General features: G+C 39.5%; 1 protein-coding gene across 22 annotated transcripts in view; it reads left to right on the top strand.

Moving 5' to 3' along the window:
- ABCA13 (ATP binding cassette subfamily A member 13) overlaps positions 1–23,685 on the top strand; it is a 476,040-nt gene that overhangs the window by 277,281 nt on the left and 175,074 nt on the right. For 16 of the 22 annotated variants that reach the window (XR_926914.3, XR_926915.3, XR_926919.3 and 13 more), the window contains 3 exons: positions 6,299–6,548; positions 18,215–18,307; positions 22,792–22,861. Coding sequence is in view for 19 of the 22 variants with exons in the window: in XM_011515130.3 (XP_011513432.1) it covers positions 6,299–6,548; positions 18,215–18,307; positions 22,792–22,861 (413 nt within the window). In the remaining 3 variants the exon portion in view is untranslated. The remainder of the gene's footprint in view (positions 1–6,298; positions 6,549–18,214; positions 18,308–22,791; positions 22,862–23,685) is intronic. The other 6 variants (NM_152701.5, XM_047419921.1, XM_047419922.1 and 3 more) reach the window with 2 other exon arrangements.

Here is a 23,685-nt window from a genome sequence, read left to right on the forward strand (position 1 = left end):
TATCAATAAAACAGTTTAGATAAATATTGCCTCCACTTATTAGCTTCTTTAAAGAATTAGGCTTAATATTGATTTTACTTTTTAAGAATATATTTAATTAACCTAGCTTTATTTATTTATTTGAGACAGAGTCTTGCTCTGTCTCCCAGACTGGACTGTAGTGGCGTGATCTTGGCTCACGGTAACCTCTACCTCCCAGGTTCAAGCAATTCTCCTGTCTCAGCCTCCTGAGTAGCTGGGATTACAGGCACCCACAACCACGCCCAGCTAATTTTTGTATTTTTAGTAGAGATGGGATTTCACCATGTTGGCCAGGCTGGTCTCGAACTCTTGACCTCCAGTGATTCGCCCACCTTGGCCTCCCAAAGTGCTGGGATTACAGGCATGAGCCACTGTGTCCGGCTCCTAGCTGTCTGTACTGCCATGTTTAATAAATAATTGTTTTTCAGGTTTTATGTTTTGTTAGTAAGCACCCACATGCCACAAAAACATTCTTTTATTTTCTTTTCCTTTTGATTTCTCTCTATTCCCTTTCCTATTTCCTCTCTCCTTCCTTCCTTCCTTTTTCTTCTCTCCTCTCCTCTTCCCTTTTCTATTCTTCTTTAAAAATAAGATGTTTGATTTTATTGGCTCTCTACTTGGGGAAACAAAAATGTTTTGAATAAGACAATTCAGTAATGGTTTGGATAAATATCATACAGCTTTATATATACCAGAACAAAGATTGAAGAGTACCCTATCTAACAGGGAAGAAAATTACCTGTCCAAAATGTTCAGTGTATTCAGGGTTAGCCAGGGCTGGAATTCAGGCATCCTGATGCTAGAGTGTGTGACTTCCCCTGTGAGACATTTACAAAGTTAGTACCCATCTTAATGGTGTCTGCCTATTGAATTAGAAGTATATTTCCCAAGGAAACCTGTAGCACTGTTAAGGTTTCCATGCAGCTCACCTGATTCTATTTCCCTGACTTGGTGAGACAGATGCAATGATTTATGTCTTTTCATGTCTGCCAATTATTCTGAAATCCAGCATTATGACTGGGGTCAGCAGAAAATAGTCCTCATACCATTTCTGTAACCAGCTTAGCATATTTCTGTCCCATAATCCATGTCTTTGCATGAGATTCCTTCTATTTCTTCACACTCTGGTTACCCTCCCTACCTGTCACAAACATGTTTTTATTTTTGAATTGCTGGCATTGGCTGACTCCTTGAAGAAACTTCCTCTAATCTGACATTATGTATATTTCACTGTGCTGTTCAGGTTTCACTGACACGTTTTGTTTACTTGTTTGACTCTATTACAAGACCAAGAACTTCTCGAAACCCTTCTTCAAATAGATAACCCAGCACCTAGCATAGCACTTGCACTAGTAAATACTCACTGAATTTAATTCCCCAAATTTAACTCATTTCACAACCTCTCTTGAACTGGATTTATTTATAAATAAATGAACCTTTTGATCTACATTAGTTCAGAGAGCCATTTCAGCACTAGAATTCTGTAACTCACTGAACAGAGAATTTTACTGTTTCTATCTCATAAAATCATGCTTTATTTCCTGAATAAGTGTACAGTCTTTACAAAGTAATTTATCGTTTACAAGATGATTAAGTGTTCAGTGCTGAGAAAACCCAGAAAATTGTGAAGAAGAATAAAAGAGTCATAATCTCACCACAAGAATATAAATTTTTAAGTAGGTTAAAAAATGCTTATACCACCTTCGCTTTTTAAATTAAAACCTTCCATTTTATCAAATGGCATGTAGGGTTTATGAATTATTGGATAAAATGCAACTTTTCACTAAAAGCATATCAAAATATTATTTTTTATAGTTTAATATTAGTAGTTTTAGCAAATTATCTTCATTCTATATGTATTACTTTGCAACATTTTTCATCTGATATATGATGAGTGTCTTCCTATAATTTCATATGTGATGTTTTAACCCTCCCTCATTTTTTGGTTAATACACGCTGTTAATACTTGGGTCATATTCCCTCTCCCACTCATTTTACTGAGTCACCTTTCATGTTCATTTTTCAAAAGACTGTATAATTTCATCTTAAATTGCTTTATTCACTTACAAAATGTAATAAACATTCTCTATGAGTATTTACCTATACTATTACCTTAAGCAGATTAATGTATTTTACTACATCCTTGTATTGTAATTTGTTCAGTTAATACCTACACATTAAATACTTGTTTCTTGCCTCTTGTTATTATATTCTTTTTTTTTTTTCTTTTCTTTTTCTTTTTCTTTTTTTTTTTTGGAGATGGAGTCTCACTCTGTCACCCAGGCTGGAGTGCAGTGGCGTGATCTTGGCTCACTGCAACCTCCGCCTCCCTGTTTCAAGTGATTCTCCTGCCTCAGCCTCCCAAGTAGCTGGGATTACAGGCATACACCACCATGCCTGGCTAATTTTTGTATTTTTAGTAGACACAGGGTTTCACCATGTTGGACACGCTGGTCTTGAACTCCTGACCTCAGGTAATCTGCTCCACCTTGGCCTCCCAAAGTGCTGGGATTATAGGTGTGAGCCATCGCGCCCAGCAAGATGTTATAAATCACCTGGTTTATGTATGTGATGAAATTTTATTTTATTATTTATAATAAAACTCTTGTATTGAGATAAAGCAGATCAAAGGCGATCTGTATTTGTCTCCAACAGAAAGACTATATGGACCTGTTCTCCCACCAGGAATGTATAAGAAGATCCGTTTCCTTAACCCTCAATAATATTAGATGTTAACATTATCTTTAATCTTTACTATATTGATTAGTTTAAAAACTAAATTATTGCCTTGGATTACAATATTTACATATTGGCTATTTTGTAAATCTTTTATTAACTGTATATTCCTGAACGTTGTGTGCCCATTTTCTTTTGGAGTTTTCATCTTAATTTTACTGACTTGAAAGCATTATGTTTGTAAAGCTTTATTATAAAATCTTCAAGAACACTTGGATGAACTGGGTAGTGTGGAGATCATATTCTTGGATGCTTGCTGAGACTTTGATATTTAAGCTATTTCTCATAGGTGTTAATGTTTGAACAATTGCAGCCAAGTGACCAAAAGAAAAATTCTTTGGACATTTTTCCCAAGCAATTTGATGGTCAGGATAAATGGGAATGCATGATTATGGATGAAACTAGAGTCCTTGAATATAATTGCACTCATAAGTCAAAGAAGGCAATTCATAACAATTTGGCCCAGCATTTTAATTTTGTCTGTTAAATTATTCATGCGAATACTTTCATGAGTTAAGCCATGAATATTTGATTGGTGGTTGATTCATAACCATAAACTATATTAGCCCTTTATTTTTCTCATTTATGTCCAATTAACATATACGGGAAGGTGGAGAAAATTTATTCTTCTTAATATGAGAAACATCTTTCCCCACAGACTTATCGAGGCTGTCTGATGAACATTTACTATGACTCCGGGTCAACATTACGTTTATTCTGGCAGTTTAATAACTGTTCTAATAATAATTCTCATTACATAGAGGGAAAATATTACAAATCTCTACTTTACAAGTGAGGAGATGACATTCAGAGAGGTTAAATAATGTTCCAGAATCCACACGATATGTTGGTGGCTGAGATTAGATTCAAATCCAGGATTAAAAAATTGAATGTTCCCCACCCCACAGTGGCTCTGATGATTGTTCTCAATGAACCCAGGCCAGTGTGCACATAAATCACCACTCTCTGAGTCTACTCTATTCCTTTTCTGTTACCAGAGCTAATTGCTAAGTAGATATCCAATACTTGTTTAGTCATGTCAGTTTTGTATCACTTAACAAATATCTCTTCTGCCAACTAAGCAGGTATTTACAGCCATTTCCCTGCTGTACACAAATATGAGAAGGTGCACAGTTTGGCAGGTGGCTAAGAATGGGTGGCTAGATGTGAATGTCAAAAGCTGCTACGTAAAGGCTAATTTGTAGGTTGTGACATTTGGTGAACTGTGGCTATTCAGTTCCTTTTAAGCCTGAACAAAGTATGGCATTTTACCTTGTCAGAGAAAGAGCTTCTTGGTCAAAGGGCTGTGAAGATATCAAGTAATTATTTCAGTAATTACTTTTAGAAATCCAGGGATGGGCACCCAAAAACATCCCAGTTATTTTAGCTTGAGTTAGAGAATTCAAATACTTATCCTAATAAATATGCAGACTTAATAGAATTGGTGTTATCCAGCACTATAACCTCATAAAATCATCAAGAAGAGTGTATATACTTGTATGTGTGTATATATATAGATAGATAGATAGGTAGAGATATAAAATTTAGTTTAATGACATACTTTTTTCCTAGCAATATAATCTGTCTATATGCTGACTTAATAACTGCTTTATGAGAGCTGTATATGGATCACCATTGATAAATGCATTAAATCAGTGGTTCCATAGACTGGCTGAGAATTTCAATCTTCTGGGAAGTTATAAAAACACACTTTTAACTCTGAGTCTCTGGAGATTGGGATTTTTTTTTTTTTTTCTGAGATAGGGCCTGGCAACCAGCATTTAAAATGTTCCCAGGTTAATCTGATATGCAGCCTGGTTTAGAAACCACTGCTTTAACTACCTAATGCCTCATCCTCATTAGAACTTTATTCATTAAAATTAAATACTAATTTGCCTTATAATTTGGAAGTCTAACATGTGACTCAGCCCAAGTGACTACTGGGTTTGGAAGTCTTCTGTCCAGCACAAACCCTGAAATCCTTAAAAATGGGTGTGCAGGTCTTTCTTGTCTTGGTTTCTGATCACTTTTAACTCTCATCTCCTGCCACTTGCTACACGGATGTGCCACATTCTGTTTCCTTGCTATTCACAGAGAATGCCAGGCCTATTTATACCTCCTGTTTTGATCTTTAGACTTCCACATTTTCTTGTCTGCCTGTAAACTCCCAGGGATCTCAAGGATTCTACCTGAACGTCCGGGCCGCTTGGCCTGTTTCTCACTTTTTCCTCAGCATCCCAAGGACTCACTCCTTGGTACCGACTCTTTCCAGCCTGACACTTTGTTACAGTGTGCTGGGTTATTTCTTTACATTTTTATCTCAACCCGTATGTTGGGGACAGAAACCAAAGAGCCCAGCGCCTGCACACACTGGGCACTCAGTAAATATCCCAAATGAAGTTTTCTCAGATATGCATTTTTATCCCCATGACCCCTCTACAATTCTGTTCTCAATGCTGTGACAAATGATGTCTCTTTCACATGGTACAGCTTCTTTAAAAATGTTCTCTTTTGGGTCTTCAAACTTGTTTGCTGCTCTCTATTAACTGTATTTCAGTTTGGTGTTTGTGAGCAGTACAATCCGTTTAGTACATCTGTTCTTTATAAGACTGCCTTTCTTGTGAAATACTTCATATTGGATTTTCTGGAGTACTTTAGAGTCAATCACTGGGAAAAACTATCACCACAGCTGATTGATCCGGCTGAGTCCTGCTTTGGACGTCGTTTAAGACTGCAGTCCATGGGCTACCTCTGTCTCTGCTCCCAGCTTCTCATCCACCCAGTGGACAGAAAAGCTGCTCTCCACAGCTTGTTTGGAACGTGCAACCTCAACTCCAGGAGATTTACTGAGATTCGTTGGTAGAGGCTCCAAAGGATCACTCTTGAGGGAGCGTGGCCGGATGATCAGTAGATGAATGATGCACAGCTCACGCTTTCCTTTCGAATTTTGCTTGTGGATCGCTCTGATAGCTGAGGATGTTTTCACATTCGCTGCGTCCCCCAGAGCAGGGAAGCGGGAGCAGGGAGGCGCAGTGGGCAGGCGCCGGGCTCTCCTATGCCCTGCGGGGAAGTGGAAGGCGCCGGGAGGAGCGGGGGCGGGGTGCAGGGACGGTGGAACTGAGGAAAAGCAGGCCGTGGGGTTATTCCCTGAATGAATCCCGACCCACACATAAGCTGGGGTTTTCCCAGGAGAGACCTGGAGTTAAGAACAGAGAGGAAAAGGATGGTGGGAGAGAGGAGGAGGAAGCAAAGGAGCAGCCCAGGTGTGTCGTCCGCTCTAAGCGCAGCGGAGCTCACACGCCCTGCTCCTGCCACGCGTTGCCACGAGGCTTCCTCTTGCATTGCAGCCTTCCGGCCCAAGGCCCAGCTTCCGCACTTTAGGTGCATAAAGGGGACACTCAAGGGAGTCCTCATGGGGTGGGCCTGCGTCGCATTCCCATGGCTGCGAGATGCCGCAGGGTCACCGAGAGGGCAAACGAGGCAAAGCGCTGTCACCTCCGCAGAGCTGACCCAGCCGCCCTTCCTCCCGCCCGTCCTGCAGGTGGCTCCCTAGCACGGCCCGCAACTGTGCAGGGCGTCCAGCTGCTCCGCGCACAAGTGGCCGCGATCCTGGCCCGGAGGCTCCGCCGCACGCTGCGCGCCGGGAAGAGCACCCTCGCCGACCTGCTGCTGCCAGTCCTCTTCGTGGCCTTGGCCATGGGCTTGTTCATGGTGAGACCCCTGGCCACCGAGTACCCTCCCCTCAGACTCACACCTGGACATTACCAGCGGGCCGAGACCTACTTTTTCAGGTAAGTTGTTTTTGTTCCTTTGATTTCGAAATTATGTCGAGGCAGATTATGAATTGCAATAGCTTCGATACTTTTGAGAATTCTAGATAAAAACTGGAAATATAAATGTTTTCATTATTTCCGAGGTCTGAATTCACGAGGAGATCCTTGGAGAAGCTCTTGCTCCTCTCAGGCTGTCTCAGGGCAGGCGCTTAAGGCTAATGAGGCTGCCTGGTCTCCGAATCCTGAGCCCCTGACCCCTCCTCATGGTGGCCGAGTCCCTGCGCGAAAGGGCGCAAGCTGTCACCCGCCGACCTGCAGAGGGCCCAGCACGCCCTGCCCCACAGGAGGGCGGGATAGACTCCGGGATTTGTAGGATTCTAGAACGTATTAGATATATGTGGTATTTTCACAAAGCCCTCCACAGTTGTTTCTGGGACAACAGCCCCACAGTTGCACACACCTCTCTGCGGAGAAACGTATGACAGCACGGAAGGGATGGAAGCCCTGAGCCTCCCCAGGCTGGGGTCAATTGAGCAGGATCTGTTGCCGGTGCGTTCAGAAGAGCCTGGGTTTTTGCCACCAAATGAATTTACGCAAGAACTCAGAGCTTTCTGGGTTGCAGATTCATACACAAGGGTTGGGAACCTAAGATAGAAACCGATCCCCTAAGTTCCTTTGCCTTAGTTTAGCGGGCTCCTCTCTAGATTCAGGAGAATCTGTGCAGAGTCAGGGAGGCCCGGCCCTTGCCGGGCACGGCCATGGCTGTGATCCAGACATCATTACATTGAACATGCAAAATCGTCTTCAAGGTGGCTACAATTTTTCACATTTGGGATGGGGAGACAAATGACTGGAACTCAGTGATACTAGTTTACAACTGCACAAGCATACTGGCTAGGCTTTTCAACATGAAGACAACTAAGAGGACAGTGTCAGTTCTGCTTTTGTCAAATATATATGCTTACTAAAATAAGCAGCTTAACCAGCTAATCTCTAAGAGCCTACTAATATGTGTGTAATTTTTGTAGTGATGTGTAATTTGGAATTAGATTTAAACAAATACATGGACAAAGTAAAAATCTATGGTAAACTCTTCAGTTTGTTCCCTCCTTGTCACACTCCTCAACTATAAAAGGGCTATCACTATTTTGAGTCTTTTGATTATAAAATATGTTTCTTGAAGAAAATAATACAAAGCACAGGCTAGCCAAAAAATAAAATAAAAAACAATCACATGTAATTTTACCAGAGATATCTACAGTAAACCTACTGGGATAATCTGCCACATGATATACATAATACTTGTATCTACATGCATTTGTATTTGTTATCACAATGAGATTACACTGTAATACTCTCTGTAACTCTTTTACACTCCATAATATCTTTGTATCTCTTCTTATAAATCAGTACAACCACTTTACTCATGAAAACTACAGTACCCTGACTACTGAATGGCTCTTTAGTAGTATGTTGTTGGAGGCACATTAATTTATTTAGACAGTCTCTTTTTGGGGGCATATAAAGGTTTATTTATTTGTTTTTTTTTTCCTATTATAGGCAATGCTGTATAACAATCTTTATTTAGTTAGATTTAGGTGACTATCTACTTATTCTTACCATCAGACATTTCTATTAGAATTTTGGGGGGCAAAGGCATCAGTATTTTTATGGTAGATAGTGCCAAATTACCCTTATAAATGTGTGCCAATTAACAGTCTTATAAAGTCATTGATTCTTTTCTTCAACAAATATTTATGGTGTACTTACTATATGCTAGCTACTGTTCTAGGTGGTAGTTATATGTATAATTAGAACAAACCAAAACCCCTAGTTTTGTGGGAGAAAGGAAGTTCAGTTCTCTAAACTCTAAAAGTTTTGATAGTTCAGACCTGATATTTCATTGCTTAATAGGCAGCTCTTTGATTACTATTGAAGTTGAATATTTTCAAAGTTTTTTGGTTATTTAAAATTTTACTTTACATATTGAATATATTAAGCATCATCTATATATATATAAGTGTATTTCCACATCATATTTTGCTTCTAACTGACTTCTTCACCCTCCTCCCCTCTCTCAACTTTACCGCTTATCTTTTTCTTCTGAGACCGCTGAGAATTTCCCTTCATGGTGTTTATTTCACTGATACCATTTTCAGTTGACTCCAGATAGCCATTCACTTTCTCTACTGCATTGTTAATTTGGCGATTATGTTTTTCATTTGAAAGCATTTTTCCTACTCTCCCAGTATTCATTTGTTATAGAAGTGATGCACTTCAAAATTATTTTGAGTCTGAGAATTAAGATATTTTAATATTTTCTTCTATTTCTAAGAGTTACTATTTTAAATTGAGATATTGGTTTGTTCTCATTTTTCATAATGTTACTTAACTTATGAAACAGAGACATTCACATGTCTGGAGGTTTATTTTCTCATCCTTACAAAGGAGTCCTGCCTACACAGGCTATCGTACCTGTTCCATCAGTGATTGCAAGTGCCCCACTTCTCATGGTTAATTTCTGTCTAAAGAGAAAAGAACAAGCTTACATTTTCTCAGTTTTTATTTTAGTAGAGTGGTAGTTTAGTTAGTTATGAGGAAAAAGTAAAAAGCTACCAGGAAGCATCCACATTGATGGAACATTTTCTTGCTTTTTTGTTATTATCTCTAATGTTTGCAGTGATAGTCAAAAATTAGTGGGCGAGAAGAATAACTATCATCATTTGATCATTTTATGGGTGCTATAACTGCTCTTGTTAGGAATTCTCCACTGACATTCATTACTTTTCTTCTGCATACTGGATCCTCTCTGAGTGTGTACCTTGATTTCTCTGAAGACAACCCCTGTTGTTTTGCATTTGTATTAAACTTGCCTCTTTCCACTCTCAAAAGTGCCCTCTTATGAGTGATAAATGATGTGGCCATTCCTTCGTTATTGAATCTGAGCACCATGATCTAAATCTTGGCACAGGAATGATTCAAAAGGGGCCCAGATTTTCACATCTTATAGTCCTCCTGACTCCCTGTGTACACAGGCCACCCGTGGTAACCCAGCACCCATCCTTGCTGCTCCAAATGTGGGACAACCCCATTTTATAACATCTGTGAGCAGTCTCCTTGGGAAGGCATATAAGATTGCCATTACACTCCCTCTCTTTCTCCTTAGGGTAACTCCCTGTTGATAGATGCATAATTCAGGCCTGCATGTGGCTTTCAAAAATCATGAATGCATTAGCTTTGTGCTGATTTGGAAGATACATATAAATCTTATCTTATTAGTGTTCTGACAATTCTCAATAGAGCCCCATGCTTCTAAAATTTTAGAGTTGAGAAAATGCAATTATATATCTACATTAAATTCACTGAAAATTTCTTGCAGAATACAAATCTTCATAAAAGCACAAACCAGAAGAAATGCACTAGAGAGGTTCTTTTCTACCTGAATCCTTCTACAAATGAAGGGAACAGATGACACCCCCACAGCTCATAGAGGGTTTGAGCTTCTTGGGCCCAAACAAACCTGGGGCTTTGGCAACTCAGTCTGCAGTGTTCTCCAACTCACATGCTTTGGTGGCCAGGTAGGGAGTGAACGCATGACATCCACAGGGCTGTAAAGATGCTTGTTTTGTAACCAGACCTCCACAGCACATTGACTTTATAGACTGTGAGGGAGGAGGAGAAGTATGGAGCATGTCTGTGTTGGTTTGGGGTCTGGTCAGCCATTCATGACCCAGGCTTCTGACTCAGTTTTGTTCTGAATCAACTTGCTCTGATTGCTGTTTTGAGAGTGCTCCAGAAATTCTCCCTCCCCACTAAGAAGTGTGAGAAAAGGGTGGCAGGGCCTCTGTGCCTGTTTAGGGTGGAGGCGAGCAGCACAGAGCAGCCCCAGAGAAATTAGAGGAGGGTGGTGCATCTCTGAGAGATATAGTGTGAACACAGCTGCACCTGCTTGCAGACATCTGAGGCTGGTAAGACCTGACGGACCTGCTCAAAACCTTGAGCAGCTCCATATTGCCCAAGGGATGATATTGCCACATCTTAGCATATCCTACAGGTCCTCCTGGTGCCTCTGCAGCCTCTGCCACTCCCTTTATCTCATGCTCTGAACTTCAGAATGACACAATCATACATGATGTTGCTGCATCTCTCCCTGTTTAAGGAAATGGAAACTACCTTCCTCTCCTCAGTCCTCTGCCACTCCCACTCTATACACTCTAATGTTCCCAGCAAAATAAGAATACTTCAAAACCCGGCTCAGATGCCCCCTTCCAAGGATCCTCTGTGCTTGCTCTCTCATCTGAATGTCTGTCATTCCTGTGTGGATGTCACTGTGGCTTAACTTAGTGCGGGAGATTCTTGCCTTTCTTCCTACAGGGAGACTTCCTGGAGCTTAAGGATCAAGCCTTCTTTATATCTGTACCTTTAGTTCCTGCCAACATGTCTATAAATGATTACTTTCATTAAATCCTTGTTAAATTGAAATAATGAAAATGAAATGTATCAAAAATGTCTTCCAGAAATTAACTTGGACAGGCAGCAGACAAACAAATGGAGCATAGAAAGACAGCTCTCTACACATTAAAAATATAAAATATTTAGGCTCCATGACCTCATCTTCTGGGATGGGGCTCTTAGTCCTTACTAGAGGAGATGGTCCTAAATATACCACTAGTTCACTGCATTAGAAAAACCCGTGAGCCCTCCTTGAACATGGACCTGACCCTGGCCCACTGTCTGCTGAGTTTGTTCCTACCCCCAAACTCTCTCTCTTTTTCTCCTAGTTCTCCAACTAGGAGACCTAGAAAAAGACCTAGAAGGAGCAAGTGTAGGACTCCCAAGTCCTGGTTGCTACACCAGTTCTTTAAGAACCCAAGAGGGCCAGTGGATGTATGTGGCCAGTCGGTGCCCACTGTCACCATCCCCTTCTCCTGTTAGCATGCCAGCAGAAACTGGGTGCGTTTTTTAGTTTTCTAGGGCTGCTATAGCAAAGAACCACAAACTGGGTTACTTAACAGAAATGTATTTTCTCACTGTTCTGGAGGCCAGAAGTCTGAAATCAAAGGGTCAGCAGGACCATGTCCTCTCTGAAGGCTCCAGGGGAGAATCCTTCCTTGTGTCTCTAGCTTCAGTGGCTGCCAGCGATCCCTGACATGCCTTGACTTGTGGCAGCATCACTCCAGTCTCAGCCTCCTGTCTTCATGTGGCCTTCCTCCTGCATGTCTCTGTGTCCACATTTCCCTCTTAGAAGGACACCGGTCATATTGGATATGGTACCCACTCTAATCCTGTATGAACTCATCTAATTATATCTGGACAAACTCATTCCGAATAAGATCACTTTCTGAGGTTCTGAGTGGGCATGAAATTTGGAGGGAAATCATTCAACCCACAACATTTCCTACAACATCTTCCTTAACAAATACCACTAAATTTGACCAATCTCTTGGCCACTTGCCTACAGTAGAATCACTTGGTGTTCTGTAAAACTCAAGCTTTTCTGCTATATGCAGAAGGATAACAGAAATTAAATTAACTGAAGACTGACAGTGATTGTTGGTGTATATTTGTTGGTGTTCTGTCATCTCAAAAACATCCACCAGGTTTTGCAAAATGGTCACCGGGATGTGATAAATGTATACTTCATGATCCAGTGATGTTAACATTCATAGAGAACATCTTCAATTATTTATATTCTTCTCCTCATATATGTACAACTTCCTTCTATGTATGTGGCATCTTTATCACATGAGATAGTAGTGATTGCTTCACTTTGTTTCAGTAATTCAGTGAGAGGACGAATGGAAAGTAATTGGACAATTGTTTGGAAGAAATATAATGAAAGTTATTTTTCTTCTTATTCTTAGTAAATACTAGGATGGACCTAATATATCATCTGTGCTTTTGAGCGGGATGGAGAGGATGTAGCACACTCACCAGCAGGCTCTTGGAAGCCTTTTTTCTGGCAGAATAACATACAAAGTGCTGGCTGCCCCTCTGATCTCATTTCCTGGTTTCCCTTCCCTTGTCTGCAAGGTCCGCCTTCACACCAGGCTTCGTCCAGGTCATAGAACATCCAAACTCTGGACCGACTTTGCATGTCCAGTTGGATACCCCAAGAGCATTCTTCCTCTCAGTCATGGCACAGAAGCTGCTTTCTCAATGTAACTCGCCCATGGTCCTTTTACAGTCCAGTGGGAAAAAACAGATGGTAAATGAAATAGCTGAAACTATTTGCTTGACTTAATTATGTATACATTGTATGGGGACAAAGTCCAGCACTGAGTAGGCATTTTTAAAATGTTTACCCATGAGTGAATATATATCCTTCATGCTCTACCCAACCATGAATTTAGGATGTACTTCATGGCCCCTCACCCTGGGTGAACTGTTCTTCAGCTCAGCCCACCTGAGATTCAGTAATTTGTGAATTGCTGGTAGTCGTACCTCTTAGTGGGTTGAAATTTAAGAAAAAAGAGAGAGAATCCCTGATGACGACATTCTCATTGTGGACAGTGAACTCACAGATGTTGGGTGAACTCCTCAGTTGGCACAACCTAGCCAACTAGCCAACAGGACTGAGAATCCATTTCAGGCCTCCTGGCTCTAATTCTCATTCCACAAACACTTACAAGGCCATAAGTTCTACCCTGAGAAAGTTTACAGTCAAGCAGAGAAATGATCCCTACAAACAGATGGGAAAGTCTTATAGGTAGATACTTGGTGCAGGGGTTGTGCATAAGCCACATGGGGAGATATTTAGGGGTGTCAAAGAAGGTTTTTTAAGGCTATGCCCCCTAAATTGCTTCTTCTGAGATAACAGGTGTTTTCCAGACGTGGAGAAGAGAAAGTTTCTTCTCTTGTACTCTCTCTAAAGGAAGAGTGTGAGTAAATGTGAAAAGTAAGGCAGGAAGTCTAGCAGAAGCCTTGATGGTTTCTGGCAGGTATTACGGTATTATAAGGCATTCTGAGGAGAATTGACATTATCTTGCAAACACAATGCAGGGAGGCATTAAGAAGTTCTAAAGTCTGGGGAGTGATATGAGGGGGATTATTTTTGTAGCTTCCAGGTATGAAGTCTTATTTGGAGCAGTCTATCTGAGTCTCTTCCCCTCATAGGTAACTTTTTCTGTCTGGAATTGTGCAAGATTTCTTCTTTATCCTTGGAGTAAAGGATTCCCCCCCCCCTACTGTTTCCTTATCAAAACTGCAGATTTAAGTCTTTTTTTCAGTTCAGGGTAATTTTTTTGGGGGGTGGGGGAGTACAGGGTCTCACTCTGTTGACCAGGCTGGAGTGCAGTGGCGTGATCTTGGCTCACTACAACCTCCACCTCCTGGGTTCCAGTGATTCTCCTGCCTCAGCCTCCCGAGTAGCTAGGATTACAAGCATGCAGCACCACATCTGGCTCATTTTTGTATTTTTAATAGAGACAGGGTTTCACCATGCTGGCCAGGCTGGTCGCGAACTCCTGACCTTAGGTTATCTGCCGGCCTTGGCCTCCCAAAGTGCTGGGATTACAGGCGTGAGCCACCGCATCCTGCCAGTTCAGGGTAATTTTCTTCTATTATTAATCTAATTTCTTCACACCCATTTTTCCTTTACCTCCTTTTAGAACTCCTAGCACATCTCATGTTAGGGTCTTCCAAATCCATCTTTTAATTCTTTATCTTTCCTTAAGGATTTCTTTTTCCTTTTTGTCCTCCTTCTGTGTGGATTTTTCTTATACATCACTGTTTGTATCTAAACAGTGGCTATCCTCTTACTCAATTTATACCTCTAATATTATCTTCAGGAAACCATTCTTCTTGGTTTGAGAAAGTCCTGTGTAGGCATGTGCTTCTCTGTTTTTTTGTTTTGTTTTGTTTTGTTTTTAATTTTAAAGTGTGTATTCCTGCAGCACCTTTATTTTTCATAAATATTGGCACTGTTTGGGTTTTTCTCTGGTTGCTGGGACCCCAGGACATGTGTTTGTTATTGCTGTTTTGACAGATCAGATAAGTATGTTGCCTATCAACTGGACGAAGTTCCGAATCAAAGCACATTCTGCCTCTGTAGGGCAGCAGCTGGGCTGCCAGTACTTTCTGTTTTTTTCAGGGAGGTGGGGACCTTTGCTTCCTATACTCTCTCTCATTTAGGAATAGAAGGCATCAGCTCCTTTAATTAAGCTTTTTCTTGACTATTGGGGTCCAGCGAGAGAGGGGAGGCTGAGGTCTCTGGAGATTTGCAGGTCTCTGAGGGCCACACCTCCCAGGATGGGTCCTTTCTGGTCCTTTTCCCTGGATGCTCTGCTCCTGTTCTTCACATTGCATTCATATGTGGCCTGGCCTGTAGAGATGATGGCCCTGAATTTGCTTGGCTAGTAGCAAATCCCATAGAGCCCAAGACCTCACCTGGAACCAGAAATTTATCAACACCAAAAGCTGGTTGGATCAGGAGAGGTCGAAAGACTGGAGCTGAGAGTGTAGGGAAGGAAGGAATAAAGAAAGGAAAGGAAAGGAAGGGAAAAGAACGGAATGGAATGGAATGGAATGGAATGGAATGGAAAGGAATGGAACTGAACGGAACGGAACGGAAAGGAAAGGAGGAAGGGAGGAAGGGAGGAATGGAGGAAGGAAGGGGAGAGTGTAGGCTGCTGTCTTCCCAGATGCCCCAGTGTTTCTCAAGGTTGGTTTGATCCTTGTCTAAATCAGAACCACTGGGGGGACTTGTTAACCAGGAAGGCCCATTAGGAGTGTGTATTTGTTCAGCCAAGCTCCTTGGGTCACTCTGGTGCACAATAAATTTTAAGAGATGATTATTAGAGAGAGTGATTCCATTTATGAAGTTCCTCGAGAATCATAGGTAGTAATTTTCAATTTCTAGAGTCTAGTAAGGACAGATGTCAAATGTTTCTAACATAGAGATTTACTTTAAAATATAGCCAGGAGTTTGAAGGCAACAAAAGAGGGATAGTTTAGGAAAAAGCATTTGAAGTTTGTGGTGACAAAGATACTTTTAAAAGAAGCTTGCATTTCCTAATTTGTTAGAAACCTGAAGGCTGTTTATACAGAGGTCACACTGCCTACTTATGAGACATAACTTTGTTGTAAATTTCAGCAAGTTCCATCATTGTGTGTTTCTGGCCACAGCTGTAGGGAATTATATTAGGACAGTTGTAAACCATACGAATATTTTAAAATCTTTATTAAATTTTATGCAGTGGGGAAGATAGTGTTTTTCTGTAAACATTTATTTCTGGATTTGGATGCCACAGAGGTGTTTGCATTTTAAGTTGCTCTGGAAACAAAGTCCTCCTCAGCAGAAATATAATACTAATTTAATGTAATGAGTTGCATTTCTTCTCAATTAAATTTTGTTTTTGTTTGAATGGTAAAAGTTCAGAAAGGGCCAGATTTAGGGAAGTAAAATAATTGGATGGAGATTAAGGATGAGGCCAATGAATTCAGTGCATTGTTAACATATCACAACTTGGTTCGACACATCATTTATGAGACCCTGAGTTCCAACACCTATCCTAAGCATTGTGCCCTTTCCTCAAGGATTGCTTCATTCCAGTAATGAGAACAAGGGTAAGCCTCCAGTTAAACTCCAGTGAAGATGTATACTAAGGCCACCAGGCAGGACAAATGGAGCAGAGGAGGCAGGGAGGACTTATTATGGAATCGGTGTTCCAACCAAGGTTTCCAGGCCAGGCTGGAGATGGCTTCCAATCAAGTGTCCAGGATATTGGAGATACCGAGACAGAGGGATCAGCACCCTCAAAAGCAGATCTGCCCAATCAAACAGTGGTTCTCCTGGTCTGGGCTGCGCTGGCTAGGCTGGGCTGGGTGCCGTGCTCAGGAAGAAATGGTGAGCAACAGGCCCTAGGATTGTGGAGGGATTCAAATACTATTTCAAAACGCATAGGTAACAAGAAGCCATTGATACATTTTGAGCAAAGAAAATGTCAGATTGGTATGTTAGAAGAGCTCACTAAAGGAATTAGAGAAATTGGGAGTCTGTAATGTTCCATTCTATGTGTACGGTCACACTGAACAGTAGCCTAATGAGAAGTTTCTTCTCATTCTGAGCTTACGTTTGTTCTGCAGGATGTGGTTGGAAATTCCTACATTTCCACCTCAGACCTTTCTACATTTTAATGCTAATAGCAATTCAGAAAAATATTTTGGACTCAATTATTTCTTGTCTGAGAACAAAAAATTAATTAGAGAAATCAGTGGTTACAGATTGCTCTGTGGTTGCTTACATTTCTTCTTTCTTTTTTTTTTTTTTTGCATTTTCTGTTTTAAAGCTTTTTTATTGCTCATAATAATTATACATATTTATGGGGTACATGTGATATTTTGATACATGCGTACGATGTATAATAACCAAAGCAGGGTATTTAGGATATCTATCACCTCAAATATTTATAATGTCTTACTTTGGGAACATTTCAAATCTTCTAGCTGTTTTGAAAATAGGATAAATTGTTGTTAACTACAGTCACCCTGCTGTGCTATCGAACACTAGTACCTATTTTTTTTTATAACTGTATGTTTGTACCTATTAACCAACCTCTTTCTCTCCCCTATTCTTCCCAGCTTCTGGTGTTTGCATTTCTTCAATGTAGCTAATGTTTTAAGTTCTTTAAAAGGAGTCACTTATGTATATTTGTTAATTTATATAATAATTCTTTCCAAAAAGAATTGAGGTCACCAGGTATATCTATATAATCTATAATGCTGATTATATACCATTTTTGAAATTTTTGAGACAAGTGTTTGCAAAGATTCTTACTCAAAAAGTATTTTATAAATAATGCAATGTAAGTTCTGAAAAGTAAGAAATCTATACTCTTTTCTAAATACTAATTTAGAATTTTAATTAATTAAATGAGCTCATTCTCATTCAGTCCAATTTAGAAAATCTTAAAATGTCTTTTTCTCTACATTTTCTCAAGATTGTCTTATAATTGAGGTATAAAATTTAATACAGGGTTTGTTTCTACAACTCCCCACAGTGACATGAATAGTGTCTTATTGCTGATGGTGTCTTCAGTAAGGAAATTCAGTATTGGTGGTTTTGGCTTTCAGTAATGCTGCTTGAACTACAAATAGACTTCTGAGATGTGTGCCAGTAAAATTTAATGTGTACTTAAAGCACACATAGGATTCTGTGTTGAGGACCTCTGTTAAGAAAATGTAGCTCAATGTAGCTCACATATAGAAACCAAATGATATTTCTTACATTAGAAATTGTTTTATTTCAGGACTATGTTAATAGAACAAATATTCAGACCAAACTGGAGCTCCAACTTTAAGAGCATAGTTTTGCAGATTTTAATATATTAACACAATATGATATTATGTAGCCTTTAAAATTTGTTTTTAAAAACCATGTAAATATGTGAAAAATGGTGGTGTTATATTAAGTGAAAATGTTGAGGAAAATAATGTACTGTGAATGTGAGTCTATAAAAATGCATATCTGATGGCAAAACTATACTTGTAATAAATTTTCCAATTTTATTGCTTGTTTGGCATTATCATAAAAACAGTGGAAAATTAGCTGTATCTCACTTACTAGGAATCATTAGATGGATCAGCCTGACTAGGGCACAATGTGAGGTCAGCAGCTGGTTCTCCATTCTCTGTTGGGAGCCACTAATAATCCCACTTTGTTTCCTTTGTCTCACAATGAACAGCAGCAGTGGGGGCGACAACTTGGACCTCACCCGTGTGCTTCTGCGGAAGTTTAGAGATCAAGATTTGCCCTGTGCAGATTTAAACCCACGCCAGTAAGTGTCAGGTGCTCTCTGCAAAAGTGAACACTCCCAACTGGTAATATTGTAGCCTGGGAGGACTGTTTTTCTTCATGATTGGTTATTTCATGTCACAAGTTTATGTTATAAAAAATGAAAATTAGCCTAATGACTAGGTTATTACTGAATGGGCCTTATGGGTATCACCATATAAAATGATCCGAAATAAGCTTCATAATTACCCCCTTTCTCCCTTCGTACATGCATGCTTTATATTATTGCAAAATAAATTAATAATTAACAGCATTCAATTTGTTTAATAAAACCCAAAGCTGAAAAGAATGAAGTAGGAATTAAGTCTGAATTATGTCTTAGCTATTATTTACTTTTAGAGAATCCTTGTACATATAAAAAATTAATTATATATTTTTTTAACTTAAAAGACTTAAAGGTCAGTACTGTACATCAATCTGGGGTGAATTACTTTGAAAATGATCTTTTTGGTATTTAATCATGGTTATTGTGATGATCTTTCTATGAAACCTGGATAGGGGAGGCCTTTCTTTATAAACACTTATTTCCCTCTTATTTTGCTCAATTGTTATATATTGAAGATCTACTACAAGCAAAGTGCTGCTGTAGGAACCAAAATTAATACGGAATATGGCCCTGGTCTCAAGGAATTTACAGTTCTGGGTAGAGCAAATGAGGCAAATGATAAAAGCCATAATGATTTATTAAGTGCCAGAAGTGTATGTTTTTAAGTAGTAAATATAAAAATCTAACAATAATACAATATTGGCAATTTGTTTTCTAATTTGCGATGACATATTTTGCCCATTAGTCATATTGGTAATTAGTGTGAGACTGAAAAACTATTAATGTTCTCAGTAAGAAAGAATTAATAGATAATTATGCTGCTTCACTCTAGTCTTTGCAAAACAAAGTAATTTATTTAACTAAAACTTCAATGGTAATGTTTCTATTTTTCTCCTCTCTGATGGAATACACAGGGTGTAAAATATGTCTACCTTTGAAAAATTGAAATGTAACCTAGGGCCCCATGGGGTCCAGCCCTGGTCCAAGCTGGGATCAAAGAAGAACCAGTTAGAAAAAAAAAAATCTTTTATCTAGTCCTTCTCCTTCCAGAGGAAAAAAACAAAAGGTAGAATCAATAATTAAAGGACAGCAGAACGTATTGGACATTTTGTTTGGACACGTATTTTACTTCCAGTTCCTTTTACATGGGTTGCAGTAGAGCCCCAAACTCTCCTCCTCTCCTCTCTCTGTTCCATGAGCTCCTGCCCTCCAGCCCAGCCTGCAGATCAGCCTCATAGCTTTTCTCCTCTGTCCGTTCTTCTTCTACCTTCCTGGATTTATGTTTTTGTGTTCTCCCTTTTCTTTGTGAAATCTACCTAATCTATCCTTAACTCATTTCTATATTTAATCATTTCTATCTATTTTTGTGGTCAGCATAACAAAAGGGTAGGAGGAGAGGTACATGAAAAGATGCTGTGAACACTTGTATTAATAATAATTTATGTCCATGTTATACAAATAGGGCTTGATTCACTAGGACCTCAAATCAGAGCAAAAAGTTTTACTTAAAACCTGTAGATTTCCTTCTGTAAGTGTAAAATATTGTTGAATTTGATGATATCTACATTTTACCTCCTTGGAAGACTTGGGCAATCACTTGATAATTAACTAGAGGAAACATTTTAAAATAATACATTAGATTCTACTGATAGGTTGCTTTTCTGTTGAGATACTCAGCTCTGAGTGTCAACTCAATGGTGCTATGTTGAACTTCTGATTTGTACCTCCCTCTCATACGAAGACAATGAAGAGCTCTAGAAAAATCCACTGTTGTCTAAATCCGATCTAAAATATGAGTTTTCTCACAGTAGTAGGTGATGCATAATTTAAAATTTAAAATGTGTTAAAGTAGTCAACTTTTAGTAGCTGACGGGTAGATATAGATATTTAGCTTTATTTTACAAGGCTTATATCTGGTGGCACTTCAGTGTTGAATTCTCCTACTATTTCTAACACAAAATGGTCACTTTCCTCACCCATTCTTGTTAATGGTTTAGTACAGAACAAAAGTCATAGCAAATCTTATATTTCTATCAAACTTAAAACGCCAAGTGGGGAGATGGATAAGGTTTATTTTTGTAATTAAAAAGAAAGTTATTAGATAGCAGTGATACAATAAATCATCTCAGTACTCAGGAAAATCTAGAAGGCTCATTATTAGCCAAAAGGTGGGATCTTCAGAGCCTGTCATGGCTGGTGACAGATTCCCTCTTAGGGGCCTGTAAAGAGGAAAGTTGAGGCCATGGATCAGCAGTGTAGAGAATGTGCATACCAGGGATCATGATAGAGGGGTAATATAGGACCAGTCTTCCTGAATCCAAATCTCAGCTCCACTCTTACTGACTGTGTGACCCACGCAACTTGCTGAACCTCTCTCTGCTTTTCTTCATTTGCATCAGTGTGCTCTCAGTTCTATAGAAAGAACAGTCACCTCAATGGCAGGGTAGTTCTTGTAGAGAGCTTTTGTTCTCTTAAGGCAAGTTCCTGCCTCAGAAAGCAACTCTCAAGACAGGAGGTCCTTAGAGCTTCTGCCTCTGTCTTCGAGATTTAAAATGCACCTTAGCACTTTGGGGAGGCCGAGGTGGGCGGATCACGAGGTCAGGAGTTTGAGACCAGCCTGGCCAACATGGTGAAACCCCGTCTCTACTAAAGATACAAAAAATTAGCTGGGTAAGGTGGTGCGCACCCATAATCCCAGCTACTCGGGAGGCTGAGGCAGGAGAATCACTTGAGCCCAGGAGGCGGAGGTTGTAGTGAGCCGAGATTGTGCCATTGCATTCCAGCCTGGGCAACAGGGTGAGACTCCATCTCAAAAAAAAAAAAAATGCACCTTAGGTGATTGAAAACTCCAGGCAGCCCTGTAGTAGAGAGAACTATTTCACCCAGTGTGTCCAAACCTGAAGGACCAAATGACCCTCCTCCAGCAGCCTCTCTGCAGCTGTGTCCTGTAGGCCACTTTAGGGAAATGCTTTGCTAAGTCAAAGTGTATTTTTCGATTCTTAAACTTTAAAAGAAAAATTATGTAGAAACTTCTGATTTCTCATAGATCATCCCCTCTGTCTCTCCCTTTTATGAACATTCACACAGCTTCTTAGTGAATCTGTTTGAACACAAAACTTGTTGGAGGCTGAGAAGTGCTCAAAAAACTACCTGTCATGGGTCATTATGTACCTCTCATGGACACCTAGTTTTACTCTATAAAAGGGAGCTAGGAGAAGAATAAGGGAGGATTTGGAAGAGAAAAAGAAGACTTTTTGAAGTCATATATTAAATTATAAACACTTGTTAACCATCATCTAAGGCATCTGAAGGAAGAAAGGCCTGCTGAGTTTCAGAAGTATAAATGGAATTTTTTTTAAAAGTACATATCAGATACAGTACTCTGATTAAATACGTAACTCTCTTAGGTGTTATTTCCATGTAAACTCTTAAGTTTCAAACTGGAGTCCCTATAAGCTAGTCAGCCAACAAAGTGTGGAGAAATCTTTACGTTATTTTTGTTGTTTCAAAAATTACGTAGACATTGTACTTTGCTAACCTGGTTAATAGAAATGGCAAGTTTCTTTTCACTGGGCAAGGCTTTCTTCAATTGGTGTTATCATACTGGCTTTCTCATTGGAGCAGCACACACTTTGCATAGAGCTGGGATCTCGACAGCTGCTTCACCTCTCTGGACCCCACCTCTTCTTCTGAAAAGCAGGGCTAGTAAGGATGGTGGTAAAAATATCTAGCCGGTGCTTGTAATTCGGTAAATGCTAGTTTTCTTCCTCCTTTTCCAATTTTTGAGTAATTAAGAGTAATTATCATTACTGAAACAAAGTTTGATTTCCAAATGCTAGAAAAAATATTTTAAAGTATGGGACTCATAAGGAAATAGAAATGATAGGGAAACTGTGGAATACAAATGTGTTTTTGAACCACTGCTACAAATGGTTTTCATAACTGTTTCTGTTGCACAATCTTTCTGCAACAGAAAGTTTAACCAAAAAGGTTTAAAGAGGAAATTTAAAAATTGTTTTTCCTTAAGTGATTATTGAATTACTGTGTCATGCCACAAAAAGGAATTGACGTCTTGCTGTTTATTAATTGCTTCTTGGTACCTGTTTATGAGACTGCAAGCCTCAGTTTCCACCAGGAGCCCCAGCCGCACCGTGAAAGTCCTAGGGAGCCCTGTGATACACTCAGTACAGTAAGAAAAGTGAGCCCCATGTAATATAATGGAAATGCTGGCGTTGTAATAAAACATTGTCATCAGATTAACAGCTCAAGCTGTGAAAACAAATGTAAGAGCTCTGCCTTCTCGGCAGTGGGAGATGATTATCTTGTGAACTCTGTTCTAGTCTGATGAAACTCTCTTTTATGGAAATACAATGGCTTTGTAAATCTAAAAGATCATTCCAATTCTCTCCTTTGTTTTTTAGGAAGAATTCTTCATGCTGGCGCACAGATCCCTTTTCTCACCCAGAATTCCAGGATTCATGTGGCTGCCTGGTAGGTTTCTGCAGCATTTTTGATCTTTTTAAGTCTAAAATTCAAGTGACAAAAATGAGTTTACCCTATCTATAAAATTTTCATATTTGTAACTGTGTCTTTATAACTTTTTGGTTTCCTGGATTAGCTGTTTCTGGGAAAAGTTTTGTCACATAAAGTGAATATTTATAGAACACAGATGCTGTATAGATTGACAGTGCCCCTCTCCTTCATTGCCTTCTGCCTTTGGTCTTTAACATTCCCCTGGCATTCATTAAGAAAATGACTATTCTTCAAGTAATGATAAAGAAGCTAGAATTGCCCTAAGGAAGGAAATTTTTCTAAATTTCAAGGCAGCATGACCTCAAGGTTCTTGCCATATTTTTATTTGGGCTAGATATTAACAGCTAAGATGCCCCTTAGCTCTCTGACTATGGTTGATTCTTACAAAAACATGTGGAAGTAGGTGTGCCACTATTGAGGTGAGAGACATCACTGTCTAATCTGTGAAGGAGAATAAATTGAAATTTATTTGGAAAACTGATTGGAACTCATCTCAAAGAAAATCTCAGACTCTAATTAATAAAAGGCATAGACCTGCTAGCCACAATCAATAAGCAAGTATGATGACAGGTCTAATTTATAGGAAAAAGGGAAAAGAAAAAAAATATTGAAGTTAATTGAGCATCTGTAATGGAAATGGCTATTTGGAGAACGTGTTTACAGGGCCTTCCTAGTTAGTGGATGATGAGATGCAATTCTCCTTAATAGTTGTCAACCTAAGGGAAGAAACTGAGACAAATTAATATAGGTAGAGAGTTTATTTGAGCCAAAGTTGAGAACAG

The sequence above is a fragment of the Homo sapiens genome, chromosome 7 (assembly GCF_000001405.40).
Source record: "Homo sapiens chromosome 7, GRCh38.p14 Primary Assembly".
Taxonomy (NCBI): Eukaryota; Metazoa; Chordata; class Mammalia; order Primates; family Hominidae; genus Homo; species Homo sapiens.